The sequence below is a fragment of the Homo sapiens genome, chromosome 16 (genome assembly GCF_000001405.40).
Source record: "Homo sapiens chromosome 16, GRCh38.p14 Primary Assembly".
Taxonomy (NCBI): Eukaryota; Metazoa; Chordata; class Mammalia; order Primates; family Hominidae; genus Homo; species Homo sapiens.
In genome coordinates this window covers 86689877-86702015 of record NC_000016.10, presented here as the reverse complement: position 1 = coordinate 86702015, position 12139 = coordinate 86689877, and the positions used below count along the sequence as shown (strand labels likewise).

Below are 12139 nucleotides of genomic sequence, written 5' to 3'. Positions count from 1 at the left end.
TGAAACCTCCGTTCTCAAAACCTGTTGGTCATCTTGTCCTGGAACACCATTTTGAAGTATTTATCCCTCTCTCCTCTCTATTATCGAAGAGGTAGTTTTATGAAGCTGTGGTCCTGCTTTAGGTGCCAGAAACTAGCTGTTGTCATTGTGATACAAATGGGAACCCAGGTCTCCCCAGGAAACTGCCCGGATACTCACTCTGGAGGAGGCAGAATGCGGGCGGCCGTGCTGGGAACAACCCCGGCCTGCTGGCTGTGGCCGGCCTGCAGATCCCTGAATCTGTAGGTATCCAAGACTTGAGGATCACCTGAGCCTCACCCCAGAAGGCGGTCACGATTCCCCATTGTACCAAAGAGGGAGTCAGGGCTTGAAGGGAAACTCTGCGCTCAAAGCACTTACGCGAAAAGCACATCTGTCTTCAACCGCATCCAAAGTGCTGGCCACCGGTCTTCCATATGGTCTCCCGGAGTGGGGCGTCCTGGCCTGAGGAACAGGACCCGAGGCTGCGGTGGGGTCTCTGCCTCCTTTTGTGTCTGCCGCCCAACCGTCTTCCGACAGGAGCAGGTGTGGAGGTCCCTTAGCTCTTTCTGTGATGCGCGCTGGTTCATTCCATCGGCGTTTCCGAGCACCTGCTGCATGCCCGCAGGGTGCGTGCACAGAGGGTACATCAGGGAACAGAATGGGGCGGGTCCGTGCCCTCCCAGCTTGTGAGGGTGGGGGTGGGTAATGAGGAAATTAGTGCGATGGCCTCGGAGGGCGCTGAGAACCACGGGAAATCAACTCAGGGAGACTATGGGGTGAGGCTTCGATTGGCTGCTCAGGAAAGACCCCTCTGAGGACAGAAGAAGCTACCAGGGAAGAGCTTGCCAGACAGGGGGGAACACCATGGGTGCAGGAACCCCTGCGGAAGGTCAGGAGGACAGAGAGGGCCAGGGTGGCCATGGGGGGCGGGAAGGGGAAGGGGAAAAGCGGAGCAAGGGAGCAGGTCCTGGATCGTGCACGTCTGTGGGAGCCCAGAGAAGCCCTCTGGATTCGATTCCAAGGGTGATGGAAAGCCATGACCCAGGCCACGGTGGGACGGGGACTGCAGGTGGCGGGGGACGAGGGAAGCAGCTGGCTCTGTCCTCCGGAAGGAGAGGATGGAGCTTAGCTCAGGTGTGGAGGCTGTGGAGCTTCTTGGGTGCCCATGGAAGGCTGCACGGTCCACACTCAAGGAGGGCTGGACGGGGGAGTTCAACAAAGACAACTCTGGGAGGTGGAGGGTGGGGTGCCCTTTTCAGAGCCATGGAGGAGGAGAGGAAGAGCAGGCCTGGGCAGAGCCCAGAGGGCCCGTTTGGCCATTTTACATCTGAGATGCCTCCAAGATGAAAACCCGGGGCATCTCCAAGGCATCTGGACGTGGGCCTTCCTGATCGGGGACTCGACAGGCCCTCCCGCAGCTGGGCGTGGGCTGCGACCTCTGTGAGCCGTCGCATTTCATCCTCCCGGCAGCCTCACTCCCCTGCTTTCACAGGTGGGGCGGGCAGCACGGCTGGTGAAGACCGGCGAACGAGGCTGCAGGTTTGATGGCAGCTCCCCTGACACCGCCCTGGGCTCTTCTCCAGGACCAAGGGCTGGAACCACATGCAATTGCCCAGGCGGGTGGAATGGAAGAAAAAGGATGGGATGGGAGGCTGTCACCCAACCAGCCCCCTTCTCACCAGTGAGCCCAGATTTCGAGTTGACATTCCTTTGGAATCCATCCAGTAGAAGAGCTCTTGGTAGAGAAATCTCTCTCAGCATGATTCATTCTTATTTTTAAAAAGAGAAGACAAAAATGTAGAAGAAAAGAAAAGCTCATCCTCTCTGTTTGAGGTCCTGCAGCTGAATTCATCAAGAAATGCAGGAAGCTGATTTTCTGTCTCCTTCTGCCACTTTGAGGATGTGCGGTCTTGTTTTCGTTTGCCATTTTAAGCCCAGCCTTTTAAAGAAAGATATTTCACTCTATCAATGTTCAGTTTATTTTGTTACATAAAATCCCCTAAACCTGACCTCGTAAAAACCCTGTTGAGCTCAGTATTCAGAAAGGCAACCAACTCACAATGAGCTCACTGTACAAAGAGGGTGTGTGTTGGGGTGTGCTGCATGTGAGCATGGTGTGTGTATGTGTGCGTGTGATACCGCACACGTGCAAACTCTAGAACATTATAGCCAGAAACAGCGGAGGCCCTCGAAGAGCACCCCTGAGAAGTCTCGCTGAGCAGGAGAAGTAACCTGGCCCTCTTCACCTGTCCACAGGTCTGCCTACAATGCGCAAACCCACAGAGGCCACCTGTCAGGGTGTTGGCGGGCCCCGTGGGTTACGATCATCCCCTGAATATCCCCTGGTAACCTTTGCACCCTGCTCTGAGTCCTGGAGTTTCTGTCATCTCCTACAGTTACATCTTTTTGTTGTGGAGATTACAAGCTGGCCAAGGAGTAAGACATTTTCGGCTGGGCACGGTGGCTCACGCCTGTAATCCCAGCACTTTGGGAGGCCAAGGCAGATGGATCACAAGGTCAGGAGATAGAGACCATCCAGGCTAACACGGTAAAACCCCATCTCTACTAAAAATACAAAAGTTAGCCGGGCGTGGTGGCAGGTGCCTGTCGTCCCAGCTACTGGGGAGGCTGAGGCAGGAGAATGGCGTGAACCCGGGAGGCAGAGCTTGCAGTGAGCCAAGATCACGCCACTGCACTCCAGCCTGGGCGACAGAGCAAGACTCCGTCTCAAAAGAGAAACAAAACAAAACAAAACAAAAAACACATTTTCAGGGGCCTCCAAATAAAAAGATATTTGTTCATCAGCACTAAGCTATGGGACCATGACATCACACAGAACAAAGGCATCGGGAACACAGTCGAGATTAGGAACATGAATGGGAGAGGAGGGAGGTGGAGGGAGTGTAGGACCTCGTCATCGAGTTATCAAACCAGTACTTGGACAATCAGGGCACAGCTGGAAGAAGCAGCGTGTCAGCTACACCTAAACCTGGTCCAAACCCTCCTGATCTGCTTCCCATCAGGTAAAAAATGTTGACGCCACACAACCCATGCTCATTTATTATAAATTCTATACAGGCCCTCCATGTGCATCATCTACTTTGTAAAACAAAAATAGAAAAAATTAAAAGAATATGCTAAATACAAAAAAGCAATAATTAAGTATCATTTTATGTTATAAACAGTAAAAAAACTTTTGCTCTCATTTTTTTTCAGAAGCACTGTGATTACAGATACAATGTTGTTTTGAAAATCTTTCACACTTTTTAACACAGAGATGTAAGAATCTGGTTCTGAGTTTAGTTTATTTCACTATCCCTCTTGAGTGCTCCTCAGAAAGGGAAAAAATCTCTTACATTTTTAATAGAGCACCTCCAAATGGAGGAAAACCTCACAGAATACATGCCATGGTGTCAATGCCTTCCTAAGACTTGGTCTCTTTTACTTTGAGATGAAAAAAAGATGTAAGTAGAAGTTCTGTTATTTACCTCCCTCTCCTGGAGGTCACTTCTGAGGTGGTCTGACCCACAAGCACCCACTTTGGAGACCACGCATTTTGAGTGAGAAGGTGGCCAGGCTAACCGGGAGGTGGGGTGGTGGGAAGACAGTGTCCAATGTGTCCAGGAAAGCCCATCAGAGAAGGAGGCTGTGGGGCCCACCGCCTCCCATGGCCCACCTGGATGCCCCCACAGCTGGAGGGGGCAGGTCCCCAACACCACCCTGCTTAACAGGAAGCAGGCTGGACATCCAGACAGTAATGACCCAGGAGCATCCCCAAATCACAAAGAACAGGAGCTGGCAGACTCAGAGGAGGTTCTGCACACTCCTTGGGGGTCTCCAGCAGAAACGAGACCCCCTTGCTGACATTGCCCATGCCCTTTCACAGTTTCCTTCCACCCCACCCCTTCTCCCCTGCTTCCTGGATCACCAATCCCACCCCAAATCAACTACTTGCATCCAAATTTTTGTCTCTAACTAAGACCAGGGGTAAGGAACTTCTGGAGCCAGATGAGGGCTTTGAAAGCTCAGAAGAAGGATTTGGAATCCTGCCCAAGGACCACAGCCACAGCAGCGCCGGCGCTTTCAGCCAGGAAGTGATGAGATGGGATTCAAGTTTCAAAAGCTTCTTTCCTTCAGGCAGTGGAGACTGGAGCCTAGAGATGGGAAAGGGGAGAGAAGGCAGCCCTGTAGTCAGGTGGCCTCAAACTACACTCACTAATTGAGTGGAGGCAAAAATGTAGCAACATGCTTTCTTCTTAGCTATCCCCAAAAGTTATCAGCTCTTCTCTCCTATCCTTCATAATAGAAACTTAAACAAGGGGTTTAAAAAGTGTCACTCCCAAAAACCGGATTAGTTTAATCATGAAAAACACCAGGGTGGGAGTGGTGGCTCATGCCTGTAATCCCAGCACTTTGGGAGGCTGAGACGGGCAGATCACTTGAGGTCAGGAGTTTGAGATCAGCCTGGCCAACACAGTGAAACCATGTCTCTGCTAAAAATACAAAAATTAGCCAGGCGTGGTGACACGTGCCTGTAGTCCCAGCTATATGGGAGGTTGAGGCAGCAGAATTGCTTGAACCTGGGAGGCGAGGTTGCAGGGAGCCGAGATCGAGCCACAGCACTCCAGCCTTGATGACAGAGCAAGACTCCATCTCAAAAAAAAAAAAAAAAGAAAAAAAAAATCAGGCGATCAAATTGAGGGACGTTCTACAAAACGCCTGACCAGTCCTCGTTAAAACTCTCAGGATCATCAAAGACAAGGAGAGTCAGAAAGTGTCACAGCCAAGAGGAGCCTGGGGACACACAATGACTAAATGCAATGTGGGATTCTGGGACAGAAAAAGAACATCAAGTATGGACTTCAGTTAATAAAAATGTCTCATTCTGCATTAATTGTAACAAATGTTCCACCATACTAATATAAGATGTTAATAATAGGGGGAACTGGGTGTGGGGTGTATTTCTCTGTACTATTGTCACAATTTCTCTGCAAATATAAAACTATTCTAAACTTGAAAGGTTTTTTTTTTTAAGCATAATTATGTAGGGAAAATCTCCAGCTTTCCTAGCAAGAAAGGGTCCACAGAGATGAATGTTGAAGTGCTTGCTGTGTTTGATGCAGTTAGGATTAGGGGGATTCTGTTTCTTCTTCTCATTCGTGTTTTCAAATTGTCTAGAACAGAAAGAAAAAAAATCATGCGGCTGGGTGCGGTGGTGCACACCTGTAATCTCAGCACTTTGGGAGGCCAAGGTGGGTGGATCACCTGAGGTCAGCAGTTCGAGACCAGCCTGACTAACATGGTGAAACTCTGACTCTACTAAATACAAAAAATTAGCCAGGTGTGGTGGTGGGCGTCTGTAATCCCAGCTATGTAGGAGGCTGAGGCAGGAGAATTGCTTGAACCAGGGAGGCAGAGGTTGCAGTGAGCCATTGCAGTCCAGCCTGGTCAACAGAGTGAAATTCTGTCTCAAAAATAAAATAAATAAATAAATAAATATAAATAAATCAATCACGCTTTGATGTTGGAGAAAATAAAGATCAGTTTGTGCATTCTCTCAACTTTTATTTTACTATGCCATTTTTGTCTGGACTGCAGGTAACAACAGAGAAGGGACATGCGGGAACAGTCGGAGACTCCAGCTCTGCAGACAGGGGTTGAAGCTGGGAGAGAGACACATCAATGCATGCCGGCTGTCTATACGGATGGGCTCAGCAGGAAAACTGGCTGTTCCATCACCTCCTATGTCAACCTCCGTGGCTCCGTCTCCTCAGCTGTCCTGAGTGGGCACTTCCCCAGCAAAGGCAGCAAGCTGAAGAAGGCTGGAATAAGATTGATGACACTGGTTAGTAGCTTCAATGCATGGCGGACTTACTGCATACAGGGCCGGTGAGTAGACTTCAGTTCCCTTTGGAACAAGATTGAGTTTGGATGGATGGATGGGTAGATGCATGGATGGATGCATGGAGAGATGGTCCAATGAATTGTTAATGATTATAACAATGCTGCAAGGTGGATACTATTGCCATCATTTTACAAGAGTCCCAGAAACATCAAGAGCCTTGCCTGAGGTCATACGCAGGTATACGAATGGCTCCTCCCCCTGTCTTGGGTCAAGGCGATGTTTTTTTACAATGCAGTAAGTGTTCCAACTGCTGACACACAAGATGTTTTAGGTCATACACCGACTTTTTAAGATAGTTGCATATTTAAAGTTAAGTTAAGATTTTAAGATACACATTAAGGGCATAAAACTCTTAATTTTGCAGTAGTATTTCTTGGCTTGAAGATAACTGCATTCTTATAAAAAGTGAGCGGATTTGAAGACAAGTACTAAGTAAATAACAACATGTAATTGCATATTTCAACAAAACTCTAGTAACTTGTGCTCACCCCTTACGCTTCAGCATTTATAATCCTTGGTGGGTTTGGGCACATATGATAGCAGGACAGATTTCCCACAGCAGAAGCACCAGAGACATGCCATGCAGAGCCCGTAGAAGACAGCACTGTGTCTTTTTTTTTTTTTTTTTTTTTTTTTTGAGAAGGAGTCTTGCTCTGTCACCCAGGCTGGAGTTCAGTGACTCGATCTCGGCTCACTGCAAGCTCCGCCTCCCAGGTTCACGCCATTCTCCTGCCTCAGCCTCCAGAGTAGCTGGGACTACAGGCGCCCACCACCACGCCCGGCTAATTTTTTTGTATTTTTAGTAGAGACGGGGTTTCACCGTGTTAGCCAGGATGGTCTCGATCTCCTGACCTCGTGATCCATCTGCCTTGGCCTCCCAAAGTGCTGGGATTACAGGGGTGAGCCACTGTGCTCGGCCAGTACAGCGCTATTTCGTCATGCAAACGCCAACTGTGAACAGAGTCCATTCGATGACCACCATGCTTCCTGCCTGGCCAGTTGTTTGGCTGGTCATGTCTTCAACAATCATGAGCAATAAAGAATACAGAGAGGGGCAGATCTGGGATCCGAGGAGCAGAAGTTATTGACAGGCCTTGTTTGGGTGTATGAGGTCCTCCCCCACAGTTAGTTCCACTCTCTTCTTTTCCTCTCAAGCATGGTGATGTTTGTTATCTTTCTTGTTTGCCTGTTTGTCGTCTTGCTGTGTTGAACTGTACATTTGTTCATCTTGTAAAATGATTAAGGATCATGGTGATCATCCCTTTGTGCCAGGCAGGGTTGCAGGAAGAAACAGCTGATGCTCTCAAACAGGGCCATCGAGAGAGTTTAATAAACAAGCTACTTACACAGGCTTGGCCGGGACTAAAGGAATCCGTAACAAGGGAGAAGCAGCCCAGGCTAGCAGCAGTGGGAGTGACTGTCATGGGGCACAGAGCGTGAGCTGCACCTGCGGGAGAGGGCCAGCCAACGTGTCCCTTCAGTCAACGGATGCTGCCAGCCCAAGGGAGCACCATGGGGAGGTAAATACAAGGGTAAATACTCCTCCTGCCTGCTGCTCCCCTGCCAAGGTCCAACTCTTTTCCCCACCTGAAACCCTCTTCCCCAGCCTGGACCGCTCCTCTTCAGCCTTTGAGTCTCACGTCAAGCAACACATCCCCAGCAGATGGGGCGTTGCAACCCTGTATGGATGAAGGCTGTTTTTCCTGAGGAACCACAGTGCTGGTGAAGGCAGAGGGCATGGCGAGCATTCTCTAAAGCTGATGGCAGAATTCAAAATCGCGGCCGGGAGTGGTGGCTCACGCCTGTAATCCCAGCACTTTGAGACGCCAAGGAGGGTGGATCACGAGTTCAGGAGATCACGAGCATCCTGGCTAACACAGTGAAACCTCCTCTCTACTGAAAATACAAAAAAAATTAGCCAGGCTTGGTGGCGGGTGCCTGTAATCCCAGCAACTTGGGAGGCTGAGGCAGGAGAATGGCGTGAACCCAGGAGACGGAGCTGACAGTGAGCCGAGATTGTGCCACTGCACTCCAGCCTGGGCCAGGGTGCGAGACTCCATCTCAAAAAAAAAAAAAAAAAAATCACCCCCGCCTTTCTCAAGACCAGCTTGGAAATACAGGTCCAAATGTAAGGAGAACAGACCCTTTCTAGAACAGCACCTGTAGGAATATGTCGCGAGTAAATATATTCAGACTAGACCGAAAAGTCCTGTATGCAAAGATGTTTATCAGATGCTGTCAATAATAGCAAAATTAAGTAAATTAAACAAATAGATGACAACCCAGATGTCCATTTGTCCCATCAGTAGACACTTGGTTTTGAAGTCAACCGTCCATCTGTACCATGAAATATGATGCCATTAGCTCTAACCAAGGAAAAAGGAGCATGACATAGATGGCCCCAAAAGCATTCTGTAGGACAACGTGATTTCATTTTTGTGGAAACTTCTGCCTCAAGCTACAATCACTGTGCCGGCCGAGGAACACCCTCCCATCTCCTTCCATGCAGCCCTGGTCTAAACTGGAAAAATTCTGCCAACCAAGAGGAATCCTTATTTAGTGGTGTTGTCAACGTGGCTTTTCAATAGCACATTCATTCTCCACTCTCCACTTCAGCCAGGAAAGGGTGGGGGGAAGCGGGGAGAAGAAAAAGAAAAAGCCGAGTGTTTTGGAGACTGAGCTCAACAAGGCAGGTGTGTTGTGTTGGTTCCTTCAAGACCACAGAAGCAAAAGAAGCAGTGAGAGCGGGGATTAAAAGGTGCCAAATATGTGAAGCTCCGTAAACCCCAGCTGCAGAAACCCAGAGGTCAAAGTGCTTAAGGATGCATAAAATGCGGATTTTTCCATAATTATTTAAATATGTGTTAATGAGTGCTCAGAACACAGTCAGAGTATGTCCATTAAAGGATTAAAAATAAAGGGAAGTGGAAAAGGAACAGCTCAAACAGGAGAAAAAGCACTCTTCTGGGGGTCAAAACTTCTCCCAAATTTCTCTTTGGCTCTAGTTCTACCACTCAGAGCAAGTCACCCAGTCTCAGCCGGGCTTCCCCTTCCCATCTGAAAATGAACGGTGGGTGGGATAGATTGTTCAATGCCCTCAGCACAAAACCCCTTGTTCATGAAAACCAGCTCATCTTCTGTATTGAATTGAATGAGGAAATAAGAATTTTCCAAGGCAAGGGAGCTTGCAAGAGGACTGTGAAGTGTCCTAAGCTTTCTCAGGTCTCTAAGCAGAGGAAGGGCGCTGTTTTGTAACCAGCTGACTCCAAAATACAAATGAGCCACTGAGAAAACCCTGAAGAATCTGATGTGGGGGAAGATTTCAAATCCGACCTACTCCATTAACCCCTGTGGTCCTCTCATGCACCCCGCCTGGAAGCCCATCAAAGTGTCAGCTCAGCCTGGAGTCCCCGGTTAAGGAGCGAGGCATTTACACCATTTGCTAGGAGTGCAGGAAATACAGGAGTGACATTTCCATCAGTTTTCTTCCCCAAGCGAGAAAAGAGCGGCAGGGGCGAGAAAGAAAGAAAGCAACCGCGTCCAAGGCTTGGCTGCATCCCAATGCCTTTGACACCTAGGCTTTTATTGGAACTGCTACTTCCAAAATAAAGAAACTAGTGACTTCAGGGTATATTTTGCCTCCGTTTTTGAGGATGTCTTGGGCCTTTCATCTCCTCTGAAGGCGTGTCCCCTAATTATGCCCCTTTCATCCTTGTGTTGCTCAAGCAGAACATGCCAGTCTGCTCTACAGCCATTGATTATGACTGAGGGCTTTCCACGTTCCAGCTGCTGCCGAGAGCCTGGGTATTTGTGAATACCTGAATAAACTCCTTTAATCCAAAAACAAACTCCTCCTGAAAGAAACTGCCTGAAAAGGCCTTTCATAGAGTGTTTCCCAACTCACTGGTTCATGGTTTCTTTGGATTTCACTGTGCTTCCTGAACTAATGGTCTCTGAATGCATTCCCAACTGTGGCTTCCTGGTCTACCGAGGTCCCCAGCACGAGGTCCCTGGCATTAAAGGAGAAGAAGGAAAAAAGTAACACAGCAGATGCTTATAGGAGTTGCCAGGACTGGATGGGTTGAAACTGAAAGGAAATACATGTGGGTGAGAGTGTTACGTTGTTTCGACAATTTTTATAAGAAATGCTTCCCCAGGTAGTGCTTTAAAAACAAAGTTACAATCACACAGGACACACATGTGGGGTGTAGCTTCTGCTAGATGGAAAGCAGATTGCTTGAATTAGCACTGGAAGACCTTAACTACAGAACCTGATGACTCTCTTCTAATTGACAGATTTGCTTTAAGATTCACAACTTGAATTGGAAAAAACATCTGTGTTATTGAGATTACAGTGGGAGCACTAAGAAAGCCCAGAATTGACTTGGGAACTTCCCAATGGCCAGCTGATATGTTCAGATTGGAGCCCTGGACTTGGAGTTGCCAGATTCTAGGGTGAGAAATGGCATGTTCACGTCCTAGCCTTGTAAACCTCAGCTCATTACTTCCCTGCTTTGCCTCTGTATCCTGATCTCCAAAATGAAGGGGCTAGGTGAGACCAGGGGAACTTTCCTCCAACAAATCGAATTCCTCTCACCTGAGCAAGTAGGGAGGGAGGGAGGGAGGCTACCAGAACCCCCACCATGAAGATTCTCACCCTGCCCTCTCCCTGCCTTCCAGGGATCCCTGGCATGGTCTAGTTTGGTTACTATTGCTACGTAACCAATTACCCCAGAAATCAGTGCTATCAAACGATTGCCCTTTTACTTTGTTTACGATTTGGTGGGCTGGGATTTAGAGAGGGATTGACTGGGCAATCATCACTTGGAGTCTCTCAAGAGAGTGCAGCCAGGTGTTGGCTTGGACTGCAGGCAGCTGGAGGCTTGACAGGCCGCATGTGTGTCCAAGGTGTCTTGCTCACGTGGCTGGTGTTGATGCAGGGGCTGTCAGCCAATGCATCCACATGTGGCCTCTCCAGCATGGCGGTCTCAGGGTTGTCAGATTTCTTACTTGGTGGCTGGCTTCCTCCAGAGCAAGAGTTTCCAGAGAACCAGGTGGAAGACATGTGGCCCATGTGACCTAGTCACAGGAGTCACACAGCCTTACTTTCACCACATTCTATCGATGGTCAAAGGGCCACCAAATTCAACCACAGGGAACACAGATCTCCCTCTCAGTAACAGGTGAGGCAAGACCATGTTGTGGGAGAGCCTACAGGCATCAGGGTATGATTGCGGACATCTTTGCAAATCATAGTCCACCTCAGGTTCCAAGAAACACAGTTGGAAAACAACGAGGTTAGACGGTCTCTAACGTCTCTTTCTGTTAGAAAAGCAAAAAACTCTAAAAGGGCAACATTTACTTGTCCAGACTCTTTCTTTTTTAAAGAGCTTTACTCCTTTGGGAGGCCGAGGTGGGCGGATCACGAGGTCAGGAGATTGAGACCATCCTGGCTAACACAGTGAAACCCTGTGTCTACTAAAAATACAAAAAATTAGCCTGGCGCAGTGGCGGGCGCCTGTAGTCCCAGCTACTAGGGAGGCTGAGGCAGGAGAATGGCATGAATCCAGGAGGTGGAGCTTGCAGTGAGTCGAGATCGCGTCACTGCACTCCAGCCTGGGCAAGAGAGCGAGACTCCATCTTAAAATAAATAAATAAATAAATAAATAATAAATAAATAAATTAATTAAATAAATAAATAAATAAAAATAAAGAGCTTTACTGGAGTGTGCAGGCCTCCCTTGTTTTATTATGCATTTAAGTGCTTTACTGTCTGTGTTTCTTACAAACTGAGGGTTTGTGGAGACCTTGCATGGAGCAAGTCTATCAGCGCCATTTTCCCAACAGTACGTGCTTATGTCATGGCTCTGTCACATTTGAGTAATTCTCACAGTATTTCAAACCGTTTCATTATGATTACTTCTGTTATGGTGATCTGCGATCGGTGAGCTTCGTCACTATTGTAATTGTTCTGGGGCACCATGAACCATGCCCCTATAAGACAGTGAACTTAATCAATAAATGGCTTGTGTGTTCTAACTGTATCACTGGCTCTTCCCCCATCTCTCTCCCTATCCTTGGGCCTCTCTATTCACTGCAACATAATAATATTGAAATTAGGTCAAGGAATCATCCTACAGTGGCCTGTAAGTGTTTGAGTGAAAGGAAGAGTCACAGGTCTCACTTTACACCGAGAGCTGAAACGATTAAGCT

The 12139-nt window shown here is 48.3% G+C and overlaps 2 annotated features.

Annotated features, from left to right (window-relative positions):
- Nucleotides 978–1885: an enhancer, noted in NCBI's record as "H3K4me1 hESC enhancer chr16:86733737-86734644 (GRCh37/hg19 assembly coordinates)". NCBI's record gives its function as "activates a minimal SCP1, AML or CMV promoter by ChIP-STARR-seq in naive H9 embryonic stem cells {active_cell/tissue: H9 hESC(naive)}" and the evidence as "EXISTENCE:reporter gene assay evidence [ECO:0000049][PMID:30033119]".
- Nucleotides 2147–2334: a silencer, noted in NCBI's record as "fragment chr16:86733288-86733475 (GRCh37/hg19 assembly coordinates)". NCBI's record gives its function as "represses an EF-1alpha promoter that drives an FKBP-Casp9 reporter gene in an ReSE screen in HepG2 liver carcinoma cells and K562 erythroleukemia cells {active_cell/tissue: HepG2 | K562}" and the evidence as "EXISTENCE:reporter gene assay evidence [ECO:0000049][PMID:32094911]".